The sequence below is a fragment of the Homo sapiens genome, chromosome 2, assembly GCF_000001405.40.
Source record: "Homo sapiens chromosome 2, GRCh38.p14 Primary Assembly".
In the NCBI taxonomy this organism is placed as follows: Eukaryota; Metazoa; Chordata; class Mammalia; order Primates; family Hominidae; genus Homo; species Homo sapiens.
The window spans coordinates 120,837,962-120,861,288 of record NC_000002.12 but is presented as its reverse complement, the minus strand read 5'-3'; the positions used below and the strand labels follow the sequence as shown (position 1 = coordinate 120,861,288).

General features: G+C 49.4%; 1 protein-coding gene across 6 annotated transcripts in view, besides 2 other annotated features; it reads right to left on the bottom strand.

Annotated features, from left to right (window-relative positions):
• The window catches only part of GLI2 (GLI family zinc finger 2), a 256,786-nt gene that overhangs the window by 131,365 nt on the left and 102,094 nt on the right, over nt 1-23,327 (bottom strand). The gene's annotated exons all lie outside the window — the stretch shown is intronic.
• Nucleotides 4,279-4,928: an enhancer, noted in NCBI's record as "H3K27ac-H3K4me1 hESC enhancer chr2:121613936-121614585 (GRCh37/hg19 assembly coordinates)". NCBI's record gives its function as "activates a minimal SCP1, AML or CMV promoter by ChIP-STARR-seq in naive H9 embryonic stem cells {active_cell/tissue: H9 hESC(naive)}" and the evidence as "EXISTENCE:reporter gene assay evidence [ECO:0000049][PMID:30033119]".
• Nucleotides 14,630-15,130: an enhancer, noted in NCBI's record as "H3K4me1 hESC enhancer chr2:121603734-121604234 (GRCh37/hg19 assembly coordinates)". NCBI's record gives its function as "activates a minimal SCP1, AML or CMV promoter by ChIP-STARR-seq in primed H9 embryonic stem cells {active_cell/tissue: H9 hESC(primed)}" and the evidence as "EXISTENCE:reporter gene assay evidence [ECO:0000049][PMID:30033119]".

The window sequence follows — 23,327 nt, the reverse complement described above, 5'->3', positions numbered from 1 at the left end:
ATATGGGGTTTCACAGGCAGGGCTGGAGTCTGGTAGAATATGAACCACACTGAACAGACAGCACAGAATGGAATTCGCACTCCGTCACTCATGGGCTACATGGCCTCAGAGACATCAGGAAACTCGGGTTCCTCACCTGTAAAATGGGTGATAGAGACTCTCTTGCAGAGGGTAAATGGGCTCTAATCATCACCCAGTCATTGCATAATAAATGACAGCTCTCATGATTAGGGTGGGCATCTAGGGCTTCAGGATTTTAAAGGCAGAGTGGTCCAGCTTCTGCCTCATTCATCATCATTTATATCATTTGCATCACCATTGCACACTCCTGTGTGCTGGCCATAACGGATCTCTAATTTTCACAACAATCCTTGGGCCAGGTACATTAACCCTGGCCATATTAGAAATGGGGTAATCCACGCAGGGCCTCAGGAAACCAAGTGGCCGAGCCAGGGTCTGACCCTAGCTCCTTCCTCATCACCATGTGTCTTGTACCTGGGCTGCCCCCTCACTGCTCTAGAGTCCCAGACGGCTCCCTGTTAACAATGGGCCAGGCCCAGGATCCATAAGGAACCCTGCCTCTTCCACACAGGGCCTTCTTGCAGGCAAACAGGCTACACCCAGGTCCCTCCTGCATCTTTTGACCCACCAGAACCGTTGCCTGAAATGCCCTCCCCAGATCTCTCCCTGCAGCTCAGCCATTCATCCTTCAAGCTATCCAACTCCTCAAAGTGGCCCGTGACCACTCCAGGGTCAGTGACCGCTGCTGTAGTCTGCTCCCAGAATCTCGAAAGGGAGCCAAGTCCCAGGGGGCCCTCTGAGCTTCTGCAATGGACACTGACAGCTGGCCTGATCATGGGCAGCCCCAGGGCCTGTGTTGGGGGCCTGAGAGAATCTCAGGACCTGAGGACAGTGAGCCCCACCCTGCAGATGAAGAAGCCCAGGGTAGGTGATAGGATGAGGTGAGACCTTCATGCAGCTCCTTGGGGGTACTGGAACTGACCGAAGCCATCCTCAGGGCACGCTGTGGTACTGACCGCTTGACCTTACTCTAAACACCTGAAACTGGAAGACAAATCTGAAGCCCACCCTGGTCCATTACCTCTGCTTCTTGCCTAGAGGACCTTAATGATGCACTCCGATGCACTCTCCTTGGTCCCCTTCAATCCACCCTCACACCACAGCCAGGAGGAGGGCGTGCACCTGCCTGACCACCACCATGACCTCTGGGGAGCAGACAGAGGGGCAAGGCTTGTGTTTCTACACGTGCTTCAGTACTGTTTGCACATGTTCTAGAAAGTCTGTATAACTTATTAATAACAAAAAAGGGAGTATTGGCCGGGCATGGTGGCTCACGCCTGTCATCGCAGCACTTTGGGAGGCTGAGGTGGGCAGATCGTCTGAGGTCAGGAGCTCCAGACCAGCCTGGCCAAGAGGCCAGGAGGCGGAGGTTGCAGTGAGCTGAGATTGTGCCATTGCGCTCCAGCCTGGGTGACAAGAGCAAAACTCCATCTCAAAAGAAAAAAAAAAAAAAGGCCGGGCCCGATGGCTCACGCCTGTAATCCCCAAACTTTAGGAGGCCAAGGCGGGCGGATCACCTGAGGCCGAGAGATGGAGACCATTGTGGCCAACATGGTGAAACCCCATCTCTACTAAAAATACAAAAATTAGCTGGGTACGGTGGTGTGCTCCTGTAGTCCCAGCTACTCCGGAGGCTGAAGCAGGAGAATCACTTGAACCCGGGAGGCAGAGGTTGCAGTGAGCCAAGATTGCACCACTGTACTCCAGCCTGGTGACAGAGCGAGACTCTGTCAAAAAAAAAAAAAAAAAAAAAAAGGAGGGAGTATCTGTAGGGCTGTTGTGAGGCAGAGCTGCATTCACTCAACACAGCTTCCCTGCTCTTGTTTCAGGAAACAGCCCTTCCTTCAAGAGGGGAAGGGGCCACCCTTAAGCTCCAATGACATTCCAAGACAAAAGGAGATGAAGCAGAGCAAGCTCTGCATTTGCAGGCGGGAGGCCTAGGCTTCTGCTTTTGCCATCAACTCAATGTGTGATCTCAGGGCCTGAGTGGCCTCACCTGTAAAAACGACAAAGGCCTCTCCCATCCCTGACATTTTCAGACGTTTTGGAGATCCTAAGGCAGAGTCCCAGAAAATAGCAAGTAACTTCAGAAGCCCAGCCCTAGGCAGTCCCCTTTAGAAGACAGAATACTGCTTAAGAAAACCCTTGTAATGAGGCTATTAGCCAGGTCGAGGGGAGGGGGCACCCGCTTTACCGTGCCTCCGGAAAGCCTGGTTCAGGCAGAGGCACAGCCAGGGCAAGAACGCTCCGGTCCTGCCCAAGCCTGGAACACGCACACAGGAGACAACTCGTTGCAAAACCCATGGCCCTGGGGATAGAGTCTGCCCTACATTAAGAAACACTTTCCAAATGAGATAATTATTTAATAGGTAATAAATGGAGTTGGAGAGAGGACAGTGGGAATTCAGTTGATTAAATGCCTGTGCCCCCCAGCACTGCAGGCCCTCCCCAGAGCCCAGCCTCCTGCCCCACATCTCCTGACATCATCTCATGCTCAGCTCACCTCCACCATTTCCTGCTTATGGATAACCAGCCTCCGGCCACTGGGCTGCACAGAGGGCCTGAGCCACAGGGTCCACAGCAAGGCAGCAGGCTGAATCCAAGCCATCCTGCCCTCCAGCAACTCAGCAGCTTGTCTCTTCCCCCATCCTGCCCAGGGGACTAGCAGGCCGGTGGCCAAGAGGATGAGACAGGACAAGGGTGGAGGCGAGAGGCCAGAAACATCAGAGGCTGCCCATTGTTGTTCACTAGCTTGGCCCTGACCCAGAGCCAAGCTTCATCTATGCCCATTTTAACTCAACAAAGTAGCCTTGATCAGTCTTCAAATCTATGGACATGGCGGGGGCATGGGGAGAGACCATCACCCACTAGCCACATGCCAAGTACCACAAGGAGTACTTACATGTGCATTTAATTGTTCAGGTTTGTTTATATTTTGTTTCTTGACAAATAAAAACACTGAGACTCGGAAAGCTTAAGTGACTTGTTGAAAGCCACACAGCTGGCATCAACTCCGGGAACCAATCCCACCCCTGCCAGCTCCAAACATGGGTTCTTTCCCCAGCACCAAGCTGTCATTCTCCCCCGCCCCCTGAGCACTCAGCAGGTGTTCACCTAACGTGAGCTCCCTTCTCACCTCGACCACCCTACACAGAGGCCAGGTGATCCCAGTCTCAAACAACTGAAGTTTCCCAGTAACCTTTCCATCGACCCACAAAAGATGCTCTGAGCAACTCCTCCAAGGAGAGCTCTAAGAAAGGTGCGAGGGAATTAGAAGCAACCGCAACTCTGAGTGAAGGAGCTTACTATCTCAGTGGGCCACGAGGAGAAACAAGCAGAGTATCAGAAAATGGGAAGGAGGGTTTACAAGGGCCCAGGGCCACCATCAGGCTGTGCGTGCAAAAAGAGATCAGAAACTGGTGGTGGGGGTGGGGGTGGGGGGGTTGATCCCCTGTGGGCTACACTGAGGTGGGACCTGGATGAAAATGCTGGAATATAGCAGGTGATTGATGAAAAATGCATTGGATAGCGGGGTGGCCTGGTGGGTGGATGAATGGATAGGTGTTTGGGTAGGATGGATGGGTTGATGAGTAGGTGGGTGTTTGGGTGAGGTGGATCAGTTAATGGGTGGGTGGATGGATGGATAGGTGGGTGAGTGGGTGGGCAGATGGGTAGGTAGGTGGGTGGGTCGGTGGGTGGGCGGGCAGATGGGTAGGTGGGTGGCTGGGTGGGAAGATGGGTAGGTAGGTGGGTGGGTGAGCAGATGGGTAGGTAGGTGGGTGGGTGGGTGGGCAGATGGGTAGGTGGGTGGGTGGGTGGGCAGATGGGTAGGTAGGTGAGTGGGCAGATAGGTAGGTGGGTGGGCAGATGGGTAGGTGGGTGGGCAAATGGGTAAGTGGATGGGCAGATGGGTAGGTGGGTGGTTGAATGGATGGAAGCTCTCTAGTCAGGATATTTCCTCCTGTCATCTCTCTGTCACTACCCTCCTCCCCACCTCACTCCTCTTTCCTCCATAGCCATTTCAGTTTAGATCTTTGTGATGTGCAGCTGCCCACAGAGTGGGCAGTGGCTTCAGAGGTTAAGATCCACAGCCCTGCACGTCTTGGGTGCATCACTAAGCTCTAAGCCTTCCCCTGGTCTTTAGGCTAGCATGGCCAAAAGGCATGGAAGGATGAGCTTTTCTGCCCAGCTTTCCCTCCACCCCATCTTCCATAAGCCCCGGCCCACACCTTTATTATTTCTGCCTGCCCAGGCAGCTCCCACCTTGATATAAATCAGAGGGCCTCTGGGCCCAGTTCAACCCAGAGAGGGCTACTCCCTCCAGGCCTGAAGTGAGCCAGGCACACCAAAGGCCCAAGTCCTCATCAGAGGCCTTTCCGTCTGGATTTTATCCCCATTCCAGCCACACGAGGCTTCTTCAGACGCCCCTGAGGAATGCAGTGGGACAGCCAACAGAGCAGCCCAGGAAAGCGCTGGTCTGCAGAGCCATGGGAGGGCAGTGGTCAGGCAAGTAGAATGACAGAGGGCTCGGGACTGCAGTCCCTGGAGATTAGGGGGCCCTGGAGGTTCCGGTGCCATGAGAGTGTTCTGTAGGCAGCTGAGCCAGCTCCCTTACACAGTGGCTGGTCCCAGGTCAAAGCCAGGTCCGGACACTGCAAAGTCTACAGGCAGTGGAGATCGGGGCGGTGGGCAGGTCCACTTTAAAACGAGGCCCATGATGGTGAGAACCCCATCCAAATCTCTACCTAGGAGCCGTCCTGCTTCCTGGCCCGGGCACAGTCGGCCCAAACCTGCCATAAATGGGAGGCCTGATTCCCAACCTGGAGCCCCACAGGAAGGAGCTAGAAGGTGCAACAAAGGGTGGCAAGGTGAGTGGCACAGCAGCTCTGATCCCAGAAGGCGCTGCCAATGCCCACATTAGAACCTGCCTGAGCTGCTAGAGGTGGGCACCCCCTGCCCTCACTCCCTCCTGGCTGGCATCATGAGAGAAGCCAGGCAGGCAGAACAGGCAGCTTCTCAGCCTGAGGTGTTGGAAAATAAGTGCGGGATGGACAGCAGGGAGAACTCAGGCTGAGGAGTCAGCAGCCCAGGGATCAGTTCCAGTTGTACAGCCCTGCTCAAGTCACCTCCCTCCCTGAGCCTCAAATGACCCCTTTGTAAACTGGGGACAAGCACAGTGACCTTGCTTTTATCAAGATGGCACGAGATAATCCAGGTCCCCAGATCCAAGTAGGCGCTGCACAAATGGTGCCTGCTGGTGTTTTAAATAGGGTAACTGATTTTCCTTAATGAACCTAATAGAACATATGTGTGCCTTCCTGAGTGGAGAGGAGGCCCAGCACAGAGGCTCAGAGCAGAGGCCCAGGGTCAGAGAGCCAGGGCTGGAAGGCTGCTCCACCCCTTACCAGCTGTGGGACCTCAGGCCCATCACATCACCTCTGTGGTCTCCATTTCCCCCACTGTCCAGTGAGGATTATGGGACTGTTACCAGGGCTGTTGGAGGATTAAATAATCCAGTGCATGGAAAACCAAGCAGTGCCTGGAACCCTAAGAAAAGTGAGCTCGCAGTAGTTTCATCATCTCAATTCCCCTGGGGGGCTCCACGGTTTCTCTGGAGAGCGTCTTTGGGAATCCTGCTTTGGGAACTGTTTTTAAACCTTGTGAATATCCTTAGTGATGGGAAGAGGGTGTCACTTCACTGCACCTTCACCCATTCTGTAACCATGCTGAGTACTGGAGACACAGGGCCCTGAATTCACAGTGCTCCCTGGGTACACATGCTGATGGACAATGCACTGTGCAGACTGTTTGGGTAAAAAGCAGAGTACATCTGTGAAGCCACCTGACCAACCAAGTTTCTTGAGTGGCTCGCTCACTGGCTTTGAAGACAGCTCCAAGCACGAGAACAACCATGGTGCCACAGCTGACAGCTGCCTCCAGGGTCAGCGTGCAGCCGGAAAGCCCTCTGGGACCTCCCAGGGACCATTTTCTCATAGGAGCTGTCTGCACAAACTCCTTCCTGTAGCCTCTTCCCTGATCATCGGCAAATTGTTTATTTCTGTGAGTTTGCATGTCTGGTGGGTTCTGTTTTCCTCTGCTCATTTGCTGTGCTTTTTATTATTCCTGCCCAAATAAACCTCCTCTCAAATTAGATGAGGAAATCAGGGTCATTCCGCGATGACCTCGAGGGGAGCCTGCTCTGTGTGGAGGGTGTGCAGGGCTCCTGCCAGCCCACGAAGGGGTCCTGCCCCATGCTGGCCCTGGACAGGCCAGAGTGCCCAGCCCTGGGCTGAACCAGAGGCTTTCCAAGTGTGTTCTGGGCCAACAGCAGCAGCAGCAGCATCTGGGGACTTACAAATGCAAACTTTCAAGCCCCATCGCAGGCCTACTGAGTCAGAAACTCAGGATGGAGCCCAGAATCTCATGTTTAACAAGTCTCTTGGGTGATTCTGATGCACCTGATAATTTAAGAACCCCATGCTAGGCAAACAGCGAGCACTCAAGAAGTCCATTCTGGTGCACATGCCTTCCTTCTGGTTTCTCCTCATCTTCAGGCGTGTCCCAGGCATTGAAAGCAGAAAACCTCAGAACATACACATCGTGGAGACCAAATATAATGGGTGACATGAAACACGACCCCTTCTGCAGCTGTAGCCCCTCAGGGTTCCAAAGGTTCTTCTGGGATCCTGATTTCCCCTGATTGTCACAGCCTGCAGGGGAGGGGACTGCTCACACACTCAGCAGATGACTGGGGCAGCCCCCCTTGAAGCAGCACTGGGCAGGTGATATGACACATCCTGTCGGCCTCAGGAAAGGGAAGGCTATGCGCGGCTGGAACTGGCAGGCAGACCCTCTTAAAAGTGGGACCCAAGTGTGACCAGAGGATGGAGGTGAACTGACAGGGCCTGCCAGGGTCACTGCCTTCACACTTGCTGTACTCTTTGCCTAGAAATTTTTGACCCAAACTTCTGCTCCTCTTCTGAGACTCAGCTCAGGAGTCACCTCCTCCAGGAAGCTCTCCTTGACTCCCGGCCCTGCCCTTGGGCTGCCCTTTTGTGCTCTTACCTCTCTACACTGTAACTCCTACACTCTTGGCTGGTTTTTTTCCACCAGAATGTGAGCAGTTTGAGGGCAGGAATCTGTCTTATTTCCCACTATAGCCCCGATACACAATAGGTGTTTGATAAATGCTGGTAGAATGAAGGAGGAGACAAAAATGGGCTCGGGGGAGCCACAGGCCACCATGGACAGGAAGTGCCTGTACATCTTGGCTGTTACCCCCAAGCTGCTCCATCTCATAGGGGACCCACATCCCCACTACCACCACCGTGCAAATGCAGTCCCCTAGACCCACCCTAGCCAGCTGCACCTGTAACCATGCCATTCAGACAGCACCCCACACAGATGCCAGGAGGTGAGAATCAAAGCAAGTCCCAAGGTGGGGACCTGACCCCTGGGGCCTGCGAGGAGAGAGGCTCAACACATGTCATACAGAAACCATGTGCGTCTTTCTCCTGATAGCAACAATTTGGAAAAGCAAAAGGGAGACCTTCATTGGAAAATGAAGGAAAGTATGATTATGTCATCTTTTGGGTTTCACTCTCTTCTTTCTCTTAATATGCAAGGGACTAGTGACTTAGAAAAACAACAGATCCAAACAGCCAGAAAGCTCAGCATTGCAATCCCATGCCAGCCCTTGCAGACTGGCAGGCCTGCTGCTCCTGCTAGACAGGCCCAGGGCCTTTCTCAAGGGAGACCCCTCTGAGCTGCAGGAGAATCTTCTCCCCAGAACCAATGGTGGAACCATGTCACAGAATTTCTCTTCCACGACACCTCCTCTCTCCCCAGGCCCAGTCCCTAGTGACCTGAGGTGTCATTCTCTGAACTCAAATCTCCAGCTTCTGTCCTGGATCAAACTGCTCTTGGCAGCCCCATGCCTCACACCTTTGTGCCAACCTCCTCGTCCTGGTCTGCCTGCACCTTCTCTGTCCCTTTGAAGGTCTCCTGGCCCTCCTTTCAGCCTCAGCTGAACCTAGACCTACCCCCCTCCAGCCCCCGCAGAAAGCCTTTGCCAAAGACCCTCTGAGGGCCAGCACCTTGCTGGCCTTCACTCGCCTTGCAGAGACAGTGTCGTCTACTGTCTCCTGAGCGATCATGTCGAGGGCCAGAGAGGGTAGGGGATTTGGGATTTTCGATTTGCCCAAGGATGCACATTGCTGTCTTCTCTGTGCTCCTCTGTTCCTGGCCACTCTCTCACAGAATTCATTACTCATTATCCCTTCCTGCGTCTGTCTCCCCCAGAGTGGGTGGACAGCACCTGACCCTCTTCACACACCCAGAACCATCACAGTGGCCACACACTGGGCACAGCGAGTGCTGGCTGGCTGTCCTGTTGAATGGCAAAGGTCCTGATGACCTACCAAGGCATACGGGGTGCTCAGTACCAGTGACAGCTCAGGGATCACCTCCTCACTGGGATGTTTGTATTGCAAGCCAAAGGAATGAACCTATAATGGTGGAATTCTAGGCTTGATCCCAAAGTGGGCTGGGGAGGCAGGAGAGGTATCTGTGGGCAGAGAAGCCTTCCTCAAACCAACCACATAAACAGCTACCTCCCCTGTCTGTGTTTACAGGCGGCCCTGCCTCTGGAATGCTGGCACTGGTCCTGGATGCCATCCCTCAGAAACACACTCGTCCCTCAGTCCTGCCTCGACTTCATTGGCACGGACACGACATATCATCTGGGGGTCCTGTCGGAAAGCCAGCTGTCCCCCTGGCACCCCTGGTGGGGGTAGGCAGGAGTGCTATGTGTTTCAGCACCTCCTTTGGCCTGCAGTGGCCCCACCCAAGCCCAGCACAGAGCTGGCCCGAAAATGGAGCTCAGGAGGAGCCCCGCTGCATGGGGAACGACTCTCTGCCCATCCGTCTCTGTGCGATCCATAGGCCTGGGCAGGGTAGGGATGACTCCATGTGCTCCAACCTGTCCTCCTCCTCTCTCCAACTCCTGAAAGACTCCAAGCTCAGGTTCACCCTCCACACAGGCGAATGCCATCTGGGTTCTAATCCTACAACTCCCTTAGGGCCTTCCCCACTCACTCTGGGCCTGGGACTTCTCGCCCTTAGTGTGGAGTCAGGCTCCTTGTCCCACCTCTGGCCTGCCTTTCCAGTCTCAGCTCACTCCTCAATTGACTGGTGTATTTCTCCAAGACGTGGCAATGCTGCCCCTCCTACCAGATGGCACTGCTTGTATTCTCTGCAAACCTGCTTCCTAAGGCTCACGCTATCTAAGCTTTCAGTTCTCAAATGGGACCTCCTGGGAAAGGCCTTCCCCAGTACCCAGTGGGGGGCATCTCCCAGTTACCCTCTCATGCCCACTCTATTTTCTTCATAGCACCTCTCCCTCAAAGTGTTTCACCTGTGTGTTGACTTGTTGATTGTCTATTCTTCCTCACAGGAACAGGAGTGCCAGGGAGGTGGGGACTGCACTGGTTTAGCCCAAGCCCACTGCCTGATGCCCGGCTGGCACTCACTGCCTCCTCTGTGTTCGGGGACAGTGTGAAGACCTCCCTGGTGGGGCCTTTCAGTCTGCCTGGAGCTACACCAGACTCCAGTTCAGTACCAGCCAGGCCCCAAGGGCAGGGACCAGGCCTAAGTCACAGGCAGTCATCCCAGGATCTAATGACCCCAGGCACACAGCAGCCTTGACAAAGCCTTCCTGGTCATGCTGCATGTCAGACAAGCCCAACCACAACCTGCAGGCAACAAGAGCAGGGGCCACCTCCAGTCCCCTGGCCCTGGGGGCCCACGGGCTGCATTTTTGTGTATTTCCAAAAAAGTAAATCCAAACAGAGCAACATAGAACTGAAAACTCCTCACTTGAGAGGTCACTCCAGTCCCAGCCCAGCCTAGCCATCATGACCTCCCTTAAGGTGGCCCAGCCCATGGTCCCAGGAACACCACTGAGAGGCCTGTTCCATGCTGCCCTGAGTCCACCCCCAATGAGTTCTTGTTACAAACTGGGGCCCATGCAAGTTCTTTCATTTTAATTTTCATGATTCTTTTTCTTTTTTTAAAAAAATCTAAGCAATCCTGCATATGATTTTTACACTTGATCTTAGCCAAAAGGCTGAGAAAAGATCTGCGTATGATTTTTTAAAGAACAAATAGCACCAAAGGGCTTATAATGAAAGGCAATAGTCCCCTCCCTGTGCCCTGGAGGCAACCACTTTTAACTTTGAAAAAATGTTCCTGCTCTTAATTCCTCTGGCAGCTATCTGATCTATATAAGGAAGGTATTAAAATACCACGTTTTGATTCTTTAATCCTATGAGCTTAATGTTTCTGATTTATTGGTTATTTATACAGAGGACAACTCAATTCACTTGGACCTCCCCCACCACACACAGAATGGTGTATAAGGCCAACCCCTGCCTCTCGCACAGTGATGACAGCAGCTCCCGATCCTCCAAAGGCACCAGGGCTGCAGCCCTCTTCTGGAGTCCCTCCCCTGGAATCCCTCAAGCCTCTGCTCTGACTGTAGAGAGGGGGCAGCTGCACAGCCCCGGCCTTGCTATCATTCCCTTCTTGGGGGTCTCCCTCCTGGGACCTCAGGTCTTCCCTGCATTCACTTACTCCCTTACGCTGTAAGAGAGAATCCTTAAGTAAAGGCCAAAGATATACAGAAGGTAAATGCTTTGAGTCCCTCCTATATGACTGAAGATAGCCTTATTGTCCCCTCCCATCTGCCTGAGAGCTTGTCTGATAGTTTCATTGCTAATTTCCCAGGGCAAATTCACTGACTTGACACACTCACTGCTGTTGATCGGAAGGGTAGTAGTTTAGTCCTCCTTCGTTTGTAGATGACCTAGGCTGTTTAGTTTTGTTTTGTTCTGTTCTGTTCTGTTCTGTTCTCCCCTTCTCTAGAAGTTTTCAGAAGCGTTACTTTATTCTTGGTTATTTGAAATTTTACAATCACATGTCTAAATTATTTTTTTTCTTTTAAAGTGCTGGGCACACTGAGGGATGTTTTAATGTGAAGATTTTTGTCCTGATCCAGGCAATTTTCTTGTATTGTTCTTGTATAACCTTCTCCCGTCTGTTTTCTGTTTCAGTTTCTGAAACTTCCATTAGTCAAATACTCCATCACCTGCCTTTGTATTGCATCTTTCTCAGCTTTCCTTTCAGATGTTCCAGTCTTTGCTTTCTTCTTCTTTTCATGAAATGTCATGTATCCCTTTAATGAACTTTTTATTTCAACTATCATATTTTTAATCTAAAGCTCTTTTTTGTTCTCCAAATATTCTTATTTCATAGCATCCTGTTCTTGTTTTATGGATGCAATGCTTTCTTGGGCCTTTCTGAGGATACCAATGGGTGGGAGGTCAATTTTCTGTTTACATTTTCATCTCCTCCTGAATTCCGCTGCTTTGGGAACCATGCTTTCCCAGTCGTCCATGTGGACGTTGCTCTTTCACATAGCAGCCTTTCTTCAGATGTCACTTAAACCCTGGGTGTCCACTCACATTTAAAGAAGAGGGACTGGAAACTTGGTTAGAAGTTCTGCATAGATGAGTGGGGCTTGTCCAATGGTAGCTTTAGCAATTCCATAGGGAGACCCCCAAATGCCAGAGTGCTCCAAGCTTGGCACTAGGATCCAATACTCACAGGGTCTGCCCTGGTTACCCCAGAGAGTTACCTTACTTTCTCTACAAAAGAACACAATTGCCGCCATCATCATCATCATCATGATCATCATCATCATCATCACTATTGGCATAAAAGATAAACACCTGGATTCTAGTCATTCTATATGGGAGGTTGAGAGGAAGAGAGGAATCAACGACACCCATTTAATTTTTTTAAAATGATGGTAAAATATATATAACATAAGACTTACCATTTTAACCATTTTTAAGTGTACAGTTCAGTGGCATCAAATACATTCACATTGTTGTGAATCTTCAAAACTTTTCCATCTTCCCAAACTGAAACTCTGTGCACATTAAACATTAACTCCTCATTCCCCTCTTCCCCAGCCGCTGACAGCTGCGATTCTACTTTCTGTCTCTCTGAATTTGACTACCCTAGGGGCCTCATATAAGTAGAATCATGAGGACGTGTCCTCTAGTGTCTGGCTTGTTTCACTTAGCGCATATCCTTGGGGTTCATCCATGTTGCAGCATGTGTCAGAATCTCCTTCCTTTTGATGGTTGAATACTATTCCATTATATGGTAAGCTACAGTTTGTTTATCCTTGCCTTCATCATCCATTTAATATTAAAGCCACTTAGAGTAATACATGACAGAGTGTGCAGACCTGTCCTTGTCACACAGGGGCAGGAGTGCCGCTCCGCTCTCCAGAGATGGCATCCCAGCCCCTTCCTGCCACTCCTTCCTTCTTCCTAAGAAAAGTGACTATCTGTGAGCTTCTAGGCCTCTCCACAGAATGTGTGGCCCAGGGCCCACATCTTGCTGTCCCCAGTCCCCACACCCCAGTGTGGGTGGCCTTCTTGACAGAGGACTAGCTATTTTTAGTAGAAATGCAGAACTGCCACCATTTTTAGCAGGAAAGGCAAAGGTGCCAAGGAGACTTCTTTCTCCTCCAACTCTTCCCTCCCCAGGGTCTCCTTCCTGCCAGCGCCTTCTGCAAAAGTTGCCAAGAATAGGATGAACAATGAAAAACAGACCTAAGTTTTCATCCCTGTCCTGAGTACCCTGCCTCCACCCAAAATAAAGAGAAAGGCTGAGGCGACAGGGACAACCCCAGGGGCGAGTCGGTAGGCAGAGCACCACCCTGCTGCGAACTCCCTGTGTGGCCATCCCCACTCTGCTCGCCGGTCTCCTGGTGTGATAAGATGAGGGGTGAGGCTGCGTAGCTCCCAACGCCAAGGAGCTCTTAATGGAGGAGCCCCACGTTCTAGCTGGTGCAAACCCACGGGCCAGGGCAGGAGGCTTCTGCTTGCTCCGCCGCCCCTTCCAGGACTATTGCAACCAGGCGGCGGAGTCAGGCCCATCCCGGGAGCTTCCTTCTCAAGTTCAGAAGCCAGAGGCATTCAAAGTGCTTGCTCAGGTGCGCGCTGCGCGGTCTGCGGGGGCCGGACAAGCTCCGTCAAGATGCAGCCTGCATTATTCATGCCTTCTCCCTCTTCCCACAGCTTCTGAGGGAGGCCGCCACCATGGCCCGCTCACAAGGGCTGCTCTGAGCACTGCCCCTGCCTAAGCGCCTGCCTTTAATAAAAGATAAACAAGAAGTACCATGTGGGGACAGTGACATCTGCTGCACCCCCTCCCCACAGCGGGTTTCTCCCTTTCTGGGATTTGGAGCCACATGCGGCTGGGAAAGAGGGCTGGCAGGGATCCAGCTGCAGTCGTAGGCTCCACGCTGGGTCTTGGCCTCAGCTGTATTAAATCAACTCCCTGGCTCCAAATAGGAACCACCGCCCCCCCGCCCCTGCCCCCCACGCAGCCAAGGCAGGAACATCTGAACACCAGGATCTCCCAGCTCACTCTGGGAGGCCAGTGGCAGTTTCCAGGGCTGACATTCAGCCTGCTCCAATCCAATCCCCCAATCCATCCCCCAATCCAAGTTCACCAACCCCCCAATCCAAGTTCTAGGCGGTGGCAGGCCCAGAAACAGCCATTGCTCCGCTTCCTTCCATCGCTGGAAACTCAGGAGGAGCCTCGCAGGAGTTCTCTTTGGCTGTCTTCTCTTCCTCCTGATCTTCAAGAGACGTGGAAGGCAGGGGGTCCCTGGGTGCAGTGGTCTCTCCCAGAACTGCATGGTCCCTCTCATACCTCGAAACGCTTTTACCTGTGTGGACCTCCTCCTCCATAAGACACATTAAAAATTATATTTTACTAATGTGTTGGTTTAAAGACGAATATAATCCAGGCTTCTGGGCTGGATTATATTCATTTATTTTCTTCCGATTATTAAAAAATTAAAACGTTTTGGGCCCATCCCAGGATGACGAGCCCTCAGCACAGTGCCTGCTGAGCCTGATGGAGCAGTCAGCACTGTTCTTCCTTGCCAGAGCCTCAGGTTTTCCTAGGACTATTCCAGGAATTCCCTAAGTCCCAGGCAAACCCGGATGATTGGTTGCCCTCCTCGCACCTCTTGTTTCAGACGCAGAGCCCCCGAGAAGCAAGGAAAGCCATGACGGTCTAACCATCACAACCCCCAAACCTGGAGACTAAACCAGAGTAGCTGAGCTCTTGCCACAGGCCAAGACTTTATTAGGAGCTGGAAAGACACAGCTAAAACCCATGCTTGCTCCCAGGAGCTGCAAACAAACAGCTGCGGTGCCCGCGCTGTGCAAGGCCTGGGCTGAAGACACGGTCACTGTCACTCCTCTGAACACAAGGACGCTTCCATCTGCACAGCAACTCTGAGATGCAGCTAGAAACATGGGTTTTATAGGTGAAAAAAGAGAATCTCAGGGAGGTCAAGGAACTCACCCAACTGGCTTTGAAGGGAAAGGGCTGAGGACCAAGCTTGGGACTGCCCAGCTCCATGCCTGAGCCATGGTTTTGCCAGAGCCAGACTCATTGAGGGGAACCAAACACGGCTGCCTCTTGACCTGGTACACCTGAGTGGCCTGGAACAGAAAGGCAGGACAGGTGCTTCGGCACGACCAGGGGCTGTTGGAAAACAGCCCGGAGAGGTGCCAGCCCCTCAGGACCCCTGCAGAACAGGTACAGTACCACCACCTGTGCACTCAGCCCACACCAAATTACCAACTGCCCGGAGACCCAGCAGCTGTGAAGAGCCCCCTTAGAGAGCTTGCTCTAACGATGCAGATACCTGGGCACCTCCCAGGCCCAGCCAGTTATGGCTGAGGCCCACAAAGGCTTTCACAAAACCTCTTCTGAGTGATTTTTGCTGAGCAGCCAGAAACAGAGAGCCCAGAACTCCACCTATCTCTCACCAGACAGATGCACATGGAAGGGCCAGGGACCAGGAGCATGCTGTAATTAGCTCCATCCAGCAAGCTAGGAAAATGACCCCAATTGGGTGGCTTTGAAGAAGGTGGAAGGGAGGCCACTCCACGGCAAGAAACCAGAATGACTGACGGGGGAGATCTAAACCAGGCCCACTCCACAAATGACAACACACGAGTAGGTCTAGTCGTGCTTCGGACCCCCCTAGTGACATCTCCCAGCTGACCTGGGGAAAGGCAGAGCCCCCAGTGATGTCCAGTTACAGACCCAGATCCTGGCTCTGCCTCTAACCAGCTGACTGACTTAGATAATTCCACTTAGCCTCAGTTTTCCCATCTGTAAATTGGAAAGGGTTGTTGTGAGGATCAAATGGGCTAACCTGTGTAATATTTAGTCTGATGCCTGGCAATTAGGAAAACCTCAGCAACAATATCTACATAATACTACCACGTATTCCAGGCACAATACCTGGAACCTAATAAGTAATGAATATTTACTAAGTGGATGATTTGCCACAGAAACAGAGGTATCCATGCGGGTACCACCCCATCCCATGATTCCAATCAGGAAAGAGTCCAGGCAGTGTCCCGAGTTCATTAGTGGTAGAATGAGCCAAGTCAGCACAAGAAGCTGACCGGGGCTCCCGACTGCTGTGCCGTTTGCTTTCCAGGTCTCCCAGGGAGCACCTCTCCAGTCCCCAGGCCACCCAAAACTGGGCGGAGTGTCTGAGAAGGAGACTGGAGGCAGCCAGCCCCAGCCAACTGGCAGCTGCAGCATGTGAGCACGGCAGAAAGTCCAGGCCCACGTGGGCGTGCCTGGGCCTTGGCTGAACCAGGACTGATCTAGTTCCTTGAAGCCAAGTGGGGATGTTTCCTCCCTGTATAGCATGTCTTCCCTTGGAACAACCACAAGACATGTCATCGTCTTAATGAAGCCCTAGCGCTGTTTGCATTTCCAAAGCATCTCTTTCTCCTTCATTTTTAGTTTATATTTTTGAGACAGAGTCTTACTCTGTCACCCAGGCTGGAGTGCAGTGGCACAATCTCGGCTCACTGCAACCTCCACCTCCCGGGTTCAAGTGATTCTCATGCCTCAGCCTCCCGAACAGCTGGGATTACAGGCGTGCACCACCATGGCTGCCTATTTTTTGTATTTTTAGTAGAGACGAGGTTTTACCATGCTGGCCAGACTGGTCTCGAACTCCTGACCTCAAGTGATCCACCCACCTCAGCCTCCGAAAGTGCTGGGATTATAGATATGAGCCACCGTGCCCAGCTTCTTTCTCCTTTTTTTCCTCACCTGCTCCTCCCACCCAGTCTACACAGGGGGCAATTCCAGGTGGAGAACAGGAGGCTAGAGAGGTTAACGTTCATCACCTGGAATCATGCAGCAACTCACAGGTGAAGCCTTATTTTCAGGACACTATGTGGGCCAAGAAAGCAATAAGGATTATCCCTACCCAACTGGCTCCTGAGACTGAGGGGTCTCTGCTAGGATGGGGTGCCCCAGAAAGTAAGTGCCCTTTGGGGTGCAGATCACAACACCAAATTACCCTATCCACTTTGTCTTGGTGACCAAAGACACAAACTGAAACCACAACCTCCAGGGAAGAAAACGTTAATTTCCTTTCTAACTAGAATTCAGAACATTTTGGAGCTGGAAAGAATCTTTGAGAAACCATAGTCCAACCTTCCCATTTTACAGATGGGGAAAGTGAGGTTCAGAGCAACAAAGGCTGCTCCAGGCTAGTCAGTTAGCAGTTGGTCTTCTGATTTCCCAGCCAGCAAAGTGACAGGAAGGGACGGAGACCCTCCAAGCCCCACCTGCACCCACTATAAAGACACAAGAAATGGAGCTTGTACCCAAGTAGGGCTGGATGTACTAATTTTATGCAGATTCCATCTAATGCCATTAGGCAATCAAAGTAAGGATTAGCAAACTACAGCCTGAGGCCAAATCTGTCCACTGCTCATTTCACTGGGACACAGCCCTGCTCGATCATGCACATACCATCTATGCTGCTTTTGAGCTCCAGTGGCAGAGGAGAGTAGTTGTGACAGAGACCATACGTATGGCCTGGAAAGACTGAAATCTTTACTCTCTGGCCCTTAACAGACACGTGTGCTGACTGCTAATTTCGAACTAGGGAAAATGTCAAGCACCCTCTGCTAGGAGCTACTCAGGGTTCTTTGGTGACATCAGATAGGACCCTTGCCCTGATGTAAAAGGTGGGAAACAGGCCCAGTGAGAGATGGGTCCTGCCGGGGACCACACTGCAGGCTCCAGCAAAACCACACTCCTGGACAGGCACGGTGTCTCACGCCTGTAATCCCAGCACTTTGGGAGGCTGAGGTGGGCGGATCACTTGAGGTCAGGAGTTCGAGACCAGCCTAGCCAACATGGTGAAACCCTGTCTCTACTAAAAATACAAAAATTAGCCAAGCGTGGTGGCATGTACCTGTAATCCCAGCTACTTGGGAGACTGAGACAGGATAATCACTTCAACCCGGGAGGCAGAGGCTGCAGTGAGTCGAGATCGTGCCATTGCACTCCAGCCTGGGAGACAGAGGGAGACTCTGTCTCAAAACAACAACAACAAAAATAAACCACACTCCTCCCTGATCCAGAGCCCCTCTGACGCCCGTGGAACCTGCAGAGTCCCAGCTGCCCTGCAATCCACTACACAGACCTTAACCAAAGCGGGGTATTTGCTTTCCTTTTCAAAATATTTTCATGGAAGAAACAGGGGACATAATGTCCTTAAACGGCACCTCAGTTACCCTTGTAATCTCATTTGAGGTTATTTTTGTGAACTCCAAAACACAGACTGGGTACAGCTGTAAGTATAGACAGATCTTGTCCTGACGTCTAAGTTCTAAGTGTGCCTGGGTAGCCACAGTGATGGGCTCAGCTCTGAACAGCACTACCTCGGGGCTGGAAGCCTGGTATGGATCCTGCCTATGGGATCTTGGGAAAGTGACTTCACCGCCTGAGCCAAAGGTGTCTGCAAAGTGGCAGTAACAACAGGGTTGGGAGGACTAAATGGGAGCATCTTGGTGGGGAGGTAGCTCCGTAAAGGCTGGCTGCCAGCATTCATTCACTCCCACTGCATTCTGGAATATTAAAAGGAAAATGAGGCCTTTATTGAAGGGCACCTTCCCGTACACACAGCAGATAAGGTCTTATCTTGGGTTACGTCAAAAACAAAGTCTCTACCAAATGTGATGCTCATATTATTTTAGTGTCATCATAAATGACTTTATCTTTAATCTGGTGCACCAACTTGTACAACCCAGGGAATGATTCCCCAACCAGACTTCCAGCTGGGCCACTGAAGGTCTGAGTAAGCAGCTCTCATGGAATGTATTCATTTCAAAAACAACAAGAAAACTATTATTTGAATTCACAGGCAGATGGTCTGTAAGTCTAACAAATAAAACTATGTCCTATGCCTTCTGCTAAGGACAATTTCTCTGAAGTGTAAGTATTTTCATTCACTCATTCAGAAACTACACATTATATATCTGTGGCTGAGGGGCTTAGGAAAATTCTTGTAACTATAGGTTTAGCCCTTAGGAAGCTCAGAGGCCAGGCCAGCCCACGCCATGTGGGGCAGCCTTGCTATGGAGGGTCGGTTCTCACATCGGCATGCCAGGAGCTCCCTGTAAGCTACATCCTGCATCCCACAAACATGCTCTCAAATGTGGGACGCACCTTGGCAAGATGATTTCTCATGGCATTGTTTGAAAATAGCGGAAGATTGGAAATCTAAATATCCATCAGAGGGAGACTCGTTAAATAAATTACAGTCTGTCCACATAATGGAATACCAAACAGCCATAAAAACAAATGAAGAAGCGCTCCAGGTCTGATATGGACCAATTTCCAAGATACATTGTCATGCAAAAAAAACAAGATGCTGACAATTGCATTAAAAAACATATATATGTATGTATGTGTGTAAATTTATAGGTAAGCACACATATATAAATATAAACAAATAATGTTTTATTTATGTGTATACATCTAGAATCTCTTGCAAAGGATATGTGAGAGGCAGGGAACATTGGTCGTCTCCAGGGAGGGGAACCAGGGGGCTGGCTGAGAGGGAGATTTTTCACCATATAACCTTTAGTAACTCCTGAATTTTTTTTGGTTTCAATCTCATCAACTTTAAGCAAAGAAGTCTGTTTTTTTTTTTTTTTTTTTGAGTTGACAAATAGGTAACTATTGAGTTTGAATCATGTAAATTACTGTAGCTAAAATAATAAAATTTTAAAAAAAACTTACCAAAAGCCAAATACCTCCAACAGTTCATCCAAAAGTGAACTGGAGTGAAGGAGAAGGGCCTTCATTTATCTTTCCCAGAGCCCAGCATCACACACACACACACACACACACACACACACACACACACACCCTCCAGACTGGCTTGCAATGGTCCTCCTCCCAACTGGGGAACCAGAGACCCCAACTGGCCCACGCATTCTGCTCTGCACTGGAATCTAGGGACAGGCCTCTCCCCCACCATACTCTGAGCAGGCTAGAAGGCAAGTCCAGTTCTCCTCTGTCCTGCCAGCACCTGGCATACCAGAGGCAATGAAGCAATGTTTTAAACAGTGCCCAGGACAGTGCTGGGCACACAGAAGACCCTCGGTAAATACTGTTGAAATGAATGAAGACAGAAAAACTAGAATAGTCAAGAAGTCATCACTCTTGACTTAAGCTTACCTTAAGCTTGTGGATTCAGTGTCTGGGGGGAACTGCCATTACAAAAATAGCAGTTCACTGATAAGGATGTGTTCACAAAATGGTCAAGTGTCCTGCAGAGATCACACAGCAGAGCAGCGTGCAGGATGGCCCCAGGCAAAGTGAGATGAAATGGGCCCTCTCCTCTCTCTTCACTAGGCCCTCTGTAGAATCCCTCACATTGTGCCTTAGTATGGAGCGTAGAAGCCTTGGTCCTCGTCCAAGAGGGCTTAGGTGGTGAGTGACTTAGCCAGTGGATTTTGGAATAAGGCAGACGCCAAGGATTTCCTCCTCTGAAAACCGACCACTTCATGGGTCTTTTGCAGGGAGTGGATAATAATTACACAGTTCTTTCTCAAAATGTGTGTTTCTTTCTCCATCAACTTCATTTTCTACCTTTAATTTTGCATAGGAAAAACAACAGCGTAGCGACTTCGAGTTTCAGCCATACGATCAACAAGGGAAACTAAAGGCCCTCCAGCTCAATAAACAGAATGAACATCTGTTTAGATGCACATTTCAGCTGGCAAGGAAAGAGGCCACGTAGGGCCAGATAACAAAGGGACCCCAAAGACCAGACAGAGAGCTGACACTAAGCAGCCCAGGAGTGGGTGTTGGCCTCAGTAACCCAGTGGATCTCTTTTTAGCGACCATGCAGTGAGAGGACAGGAGGCCTGGAGTCTGGGAGAAACAAGAAGGGGGATCCGAGACCCCCACGTGCAAAGGCCATGGGATCGCTGCATCTCTAGTAACAGGCTGGATACCCTTCAATGCCCACCAGCACAGGGACACACCAAGATGCTTGGCTTCTCACGCCTCTGCTGGGAAACGGGCAGAGGAGCTGAAAAAGTATCTTCTGAGTGTTTGTAGCCACATGCTTGCCTTCTCGCTGAGTGATGGTTCAAATTTATAGTCCCCATGTGGTCCAGGACCCCTAAGCTATCAAAAGAATACAAAATTGATCTCACATCTGTGCTACTCCTGAAGAACCTGGTAGTCACACAGAAAAGCACTTTGGAGGGATAGCCTTAACTCATGCTGCACAGGTTTCCTTCAAATAAATCTCCACTCATTATCTGAAATTACAAAGTGCCCATGCACACGCGTGCATGCACAGACATGCAGACACACACACAAGAGTCACCAGATACCACAAAGAGCATTATCAAAGTCAGCTTGAGAGAGGATTAGAAAATGCATAACAGAAACATGGGTAATATAAAAACCAGGTGCCGACACATGGAAGACAGAATAAGAAAGTTCCAGGAAGAGAGAATGGACAGAAGCGGGGAAAGGCATAATTTGAAGAGATGGTTGGTGGAAATTTTTCAAAACTGTACAAAGACGTGGATCCTAAGGCTTCAAATTTAATAAAATTGCTATGTTTCAGAATGTGCGGGATGTAACTGAAGCATAACTTAGAAATATGTTTATATCAAGAAGAGTAGAAAAGGAGGAAGGCTAAAAATCAATCACATAGGTGCCCAATTCAAGGAATTGGGAAAATAATGTCAAAGCACACCTAAGAAAGAAAGGAAACGATATAATGACATCATTATAAAAGAAACCTGTAAGAGAGAAAACAAAGAAACGAGAAAGAGAATCAACCAACTCCTGAATTAGACCTTTGCAAGGATTAATAAAACTCTGTGAAAAGGCTGGGTGCAGTGGCTCACGCCTGTAATCCCAGCACTTTGGGAGGCCAAGGCAGGTGGATTACTTGAGGTCCAGAGTTCATGACCAGCCTGGCCAACATGATGAAACTACGTCTCTACTAAAAATACAAAAATTAGCTGGGTGTGGTTGCGCACGCCTGTAATCCCAGCTACTCGGGTGGCTGAGGCGGGAGAATCTCTTGAACCTGGGAGGCGGAGGTTGCAGTGAGCTGAATTCGTGTCACTGCACTCCAGCCTGAGTGACAAGAGTGAGACTCCATCTCAAAAAAATAAATAAAAAATAAAACTCTGTGAAGACTAACCAAGAAACAGGGAAGGGACAAATAAATAACATAGAGAATGAAAAAGGGGATATAGTTATAAACACTGCTGCTAAATTTAAAAACAAGAAAAATGAACACATTCCTGAAGACAGAGGTAGATTGATTGGTTGAATGAAAGATGACACAAAGAAATAGAAAACTGGAATTACCTCTAACCATTAAATAAACTGAATTAGTAATTTTTTAAAAAACGTTAAGAAACCAACAAACCCAGGCTGAGGTTTGGTAGTTTGGGTTTTTCCAAACTTTGTAACATGTACAAATATTTGACAACAATCCTTAACATATCGTTGACATATACAAATATGAACATATACAAATATATTAAAATATTTGAAGATAATCCATACGGTATGCAAATATTTGAATATTGGAAAGGGAAGCATTCCTTAGGACATGTTATGAGGTTAATTTAGTTGAAAATTCAACTAAATAAGGAGAAGAATGGAAATTTATGGGTCAGTCTCACTGCTGATGGAATGACACAGCAAGAAGGCCCTTGCCAGATGCAGGTTCCTCAACCTTGGACTTCCCAGCCTCCAGAACTGTGAGAAATACAGTCCTGCACCACTTAATGACAGGGATATGTGCTGAGATATGCATCACTAGGTGCATCACTAAATGTATAGCCTACCACACACCCAGGCTATATGATATAGGTTCTTCCTGGAACCTATTGACCCTGGCCTACAGCAGGTTACTATAGGGAATATTGTAGGCAACTGTAACACAATGGTAAGGATTTGTATATCTAAACATGTCTAAACCTAGAAAAGGTACAGTAAAAACATGGGATTATAATCTTATGGGACCACTGTCCTATATGCGGTTCATGATTGTCCAAAATATTGTTATGGGGTGCATGAGTGTAAATGACTTTTCTTTATAAATTTCCCAGTCTGATATTCTGTTATAGCAACACAAAGTGGACTAAGACAATGTGGCTATCAGAAATTTTAAAATTAAATGTGGTTCACATTATATTTTTATTAGACAGTGCTAATCTAGACAGCACAGTAAGAGGCAAGAAAATAACTAAAGAGAGAAAAATTGGAAAGAAAGGAAAAAGCTATCACCATTTGTAAATGACAAGATTAAATAAAATGTCTATAAAATTTGTAGGGACACATTTAAAACTAGTAAAAGATCAGCAAGATTGCTAGAAATACAATCAATATATAAAATTTAACTACATGCCTAGATGCCAGCAATAATGAACTAGAAACTGTAATTTTTAAACATATATATATGTGTGTGTATATTTTATATATATAACATTTACAGCAGCAAAGAAAACTTCAGAATACTTATGAATAAATGTAACAAAAAATGTGTAAGACCCTTATGATACAAATGATAAAACAAAAAGACATAAAATAACCAATAAGTATAGGGAGAAAGGCCGTGATCATGGGCGGGAAAACTCAAAATGACAAAGATGGCAATCTTCTCCAAATTCATTCACAAATAACTCAATTATAATCAAAACCCCAACAGGGATTTTCAGGACTCTAACAAGTTGATCCTAAAGTTCTCACGGTAGAACAAGGGCAGAAAA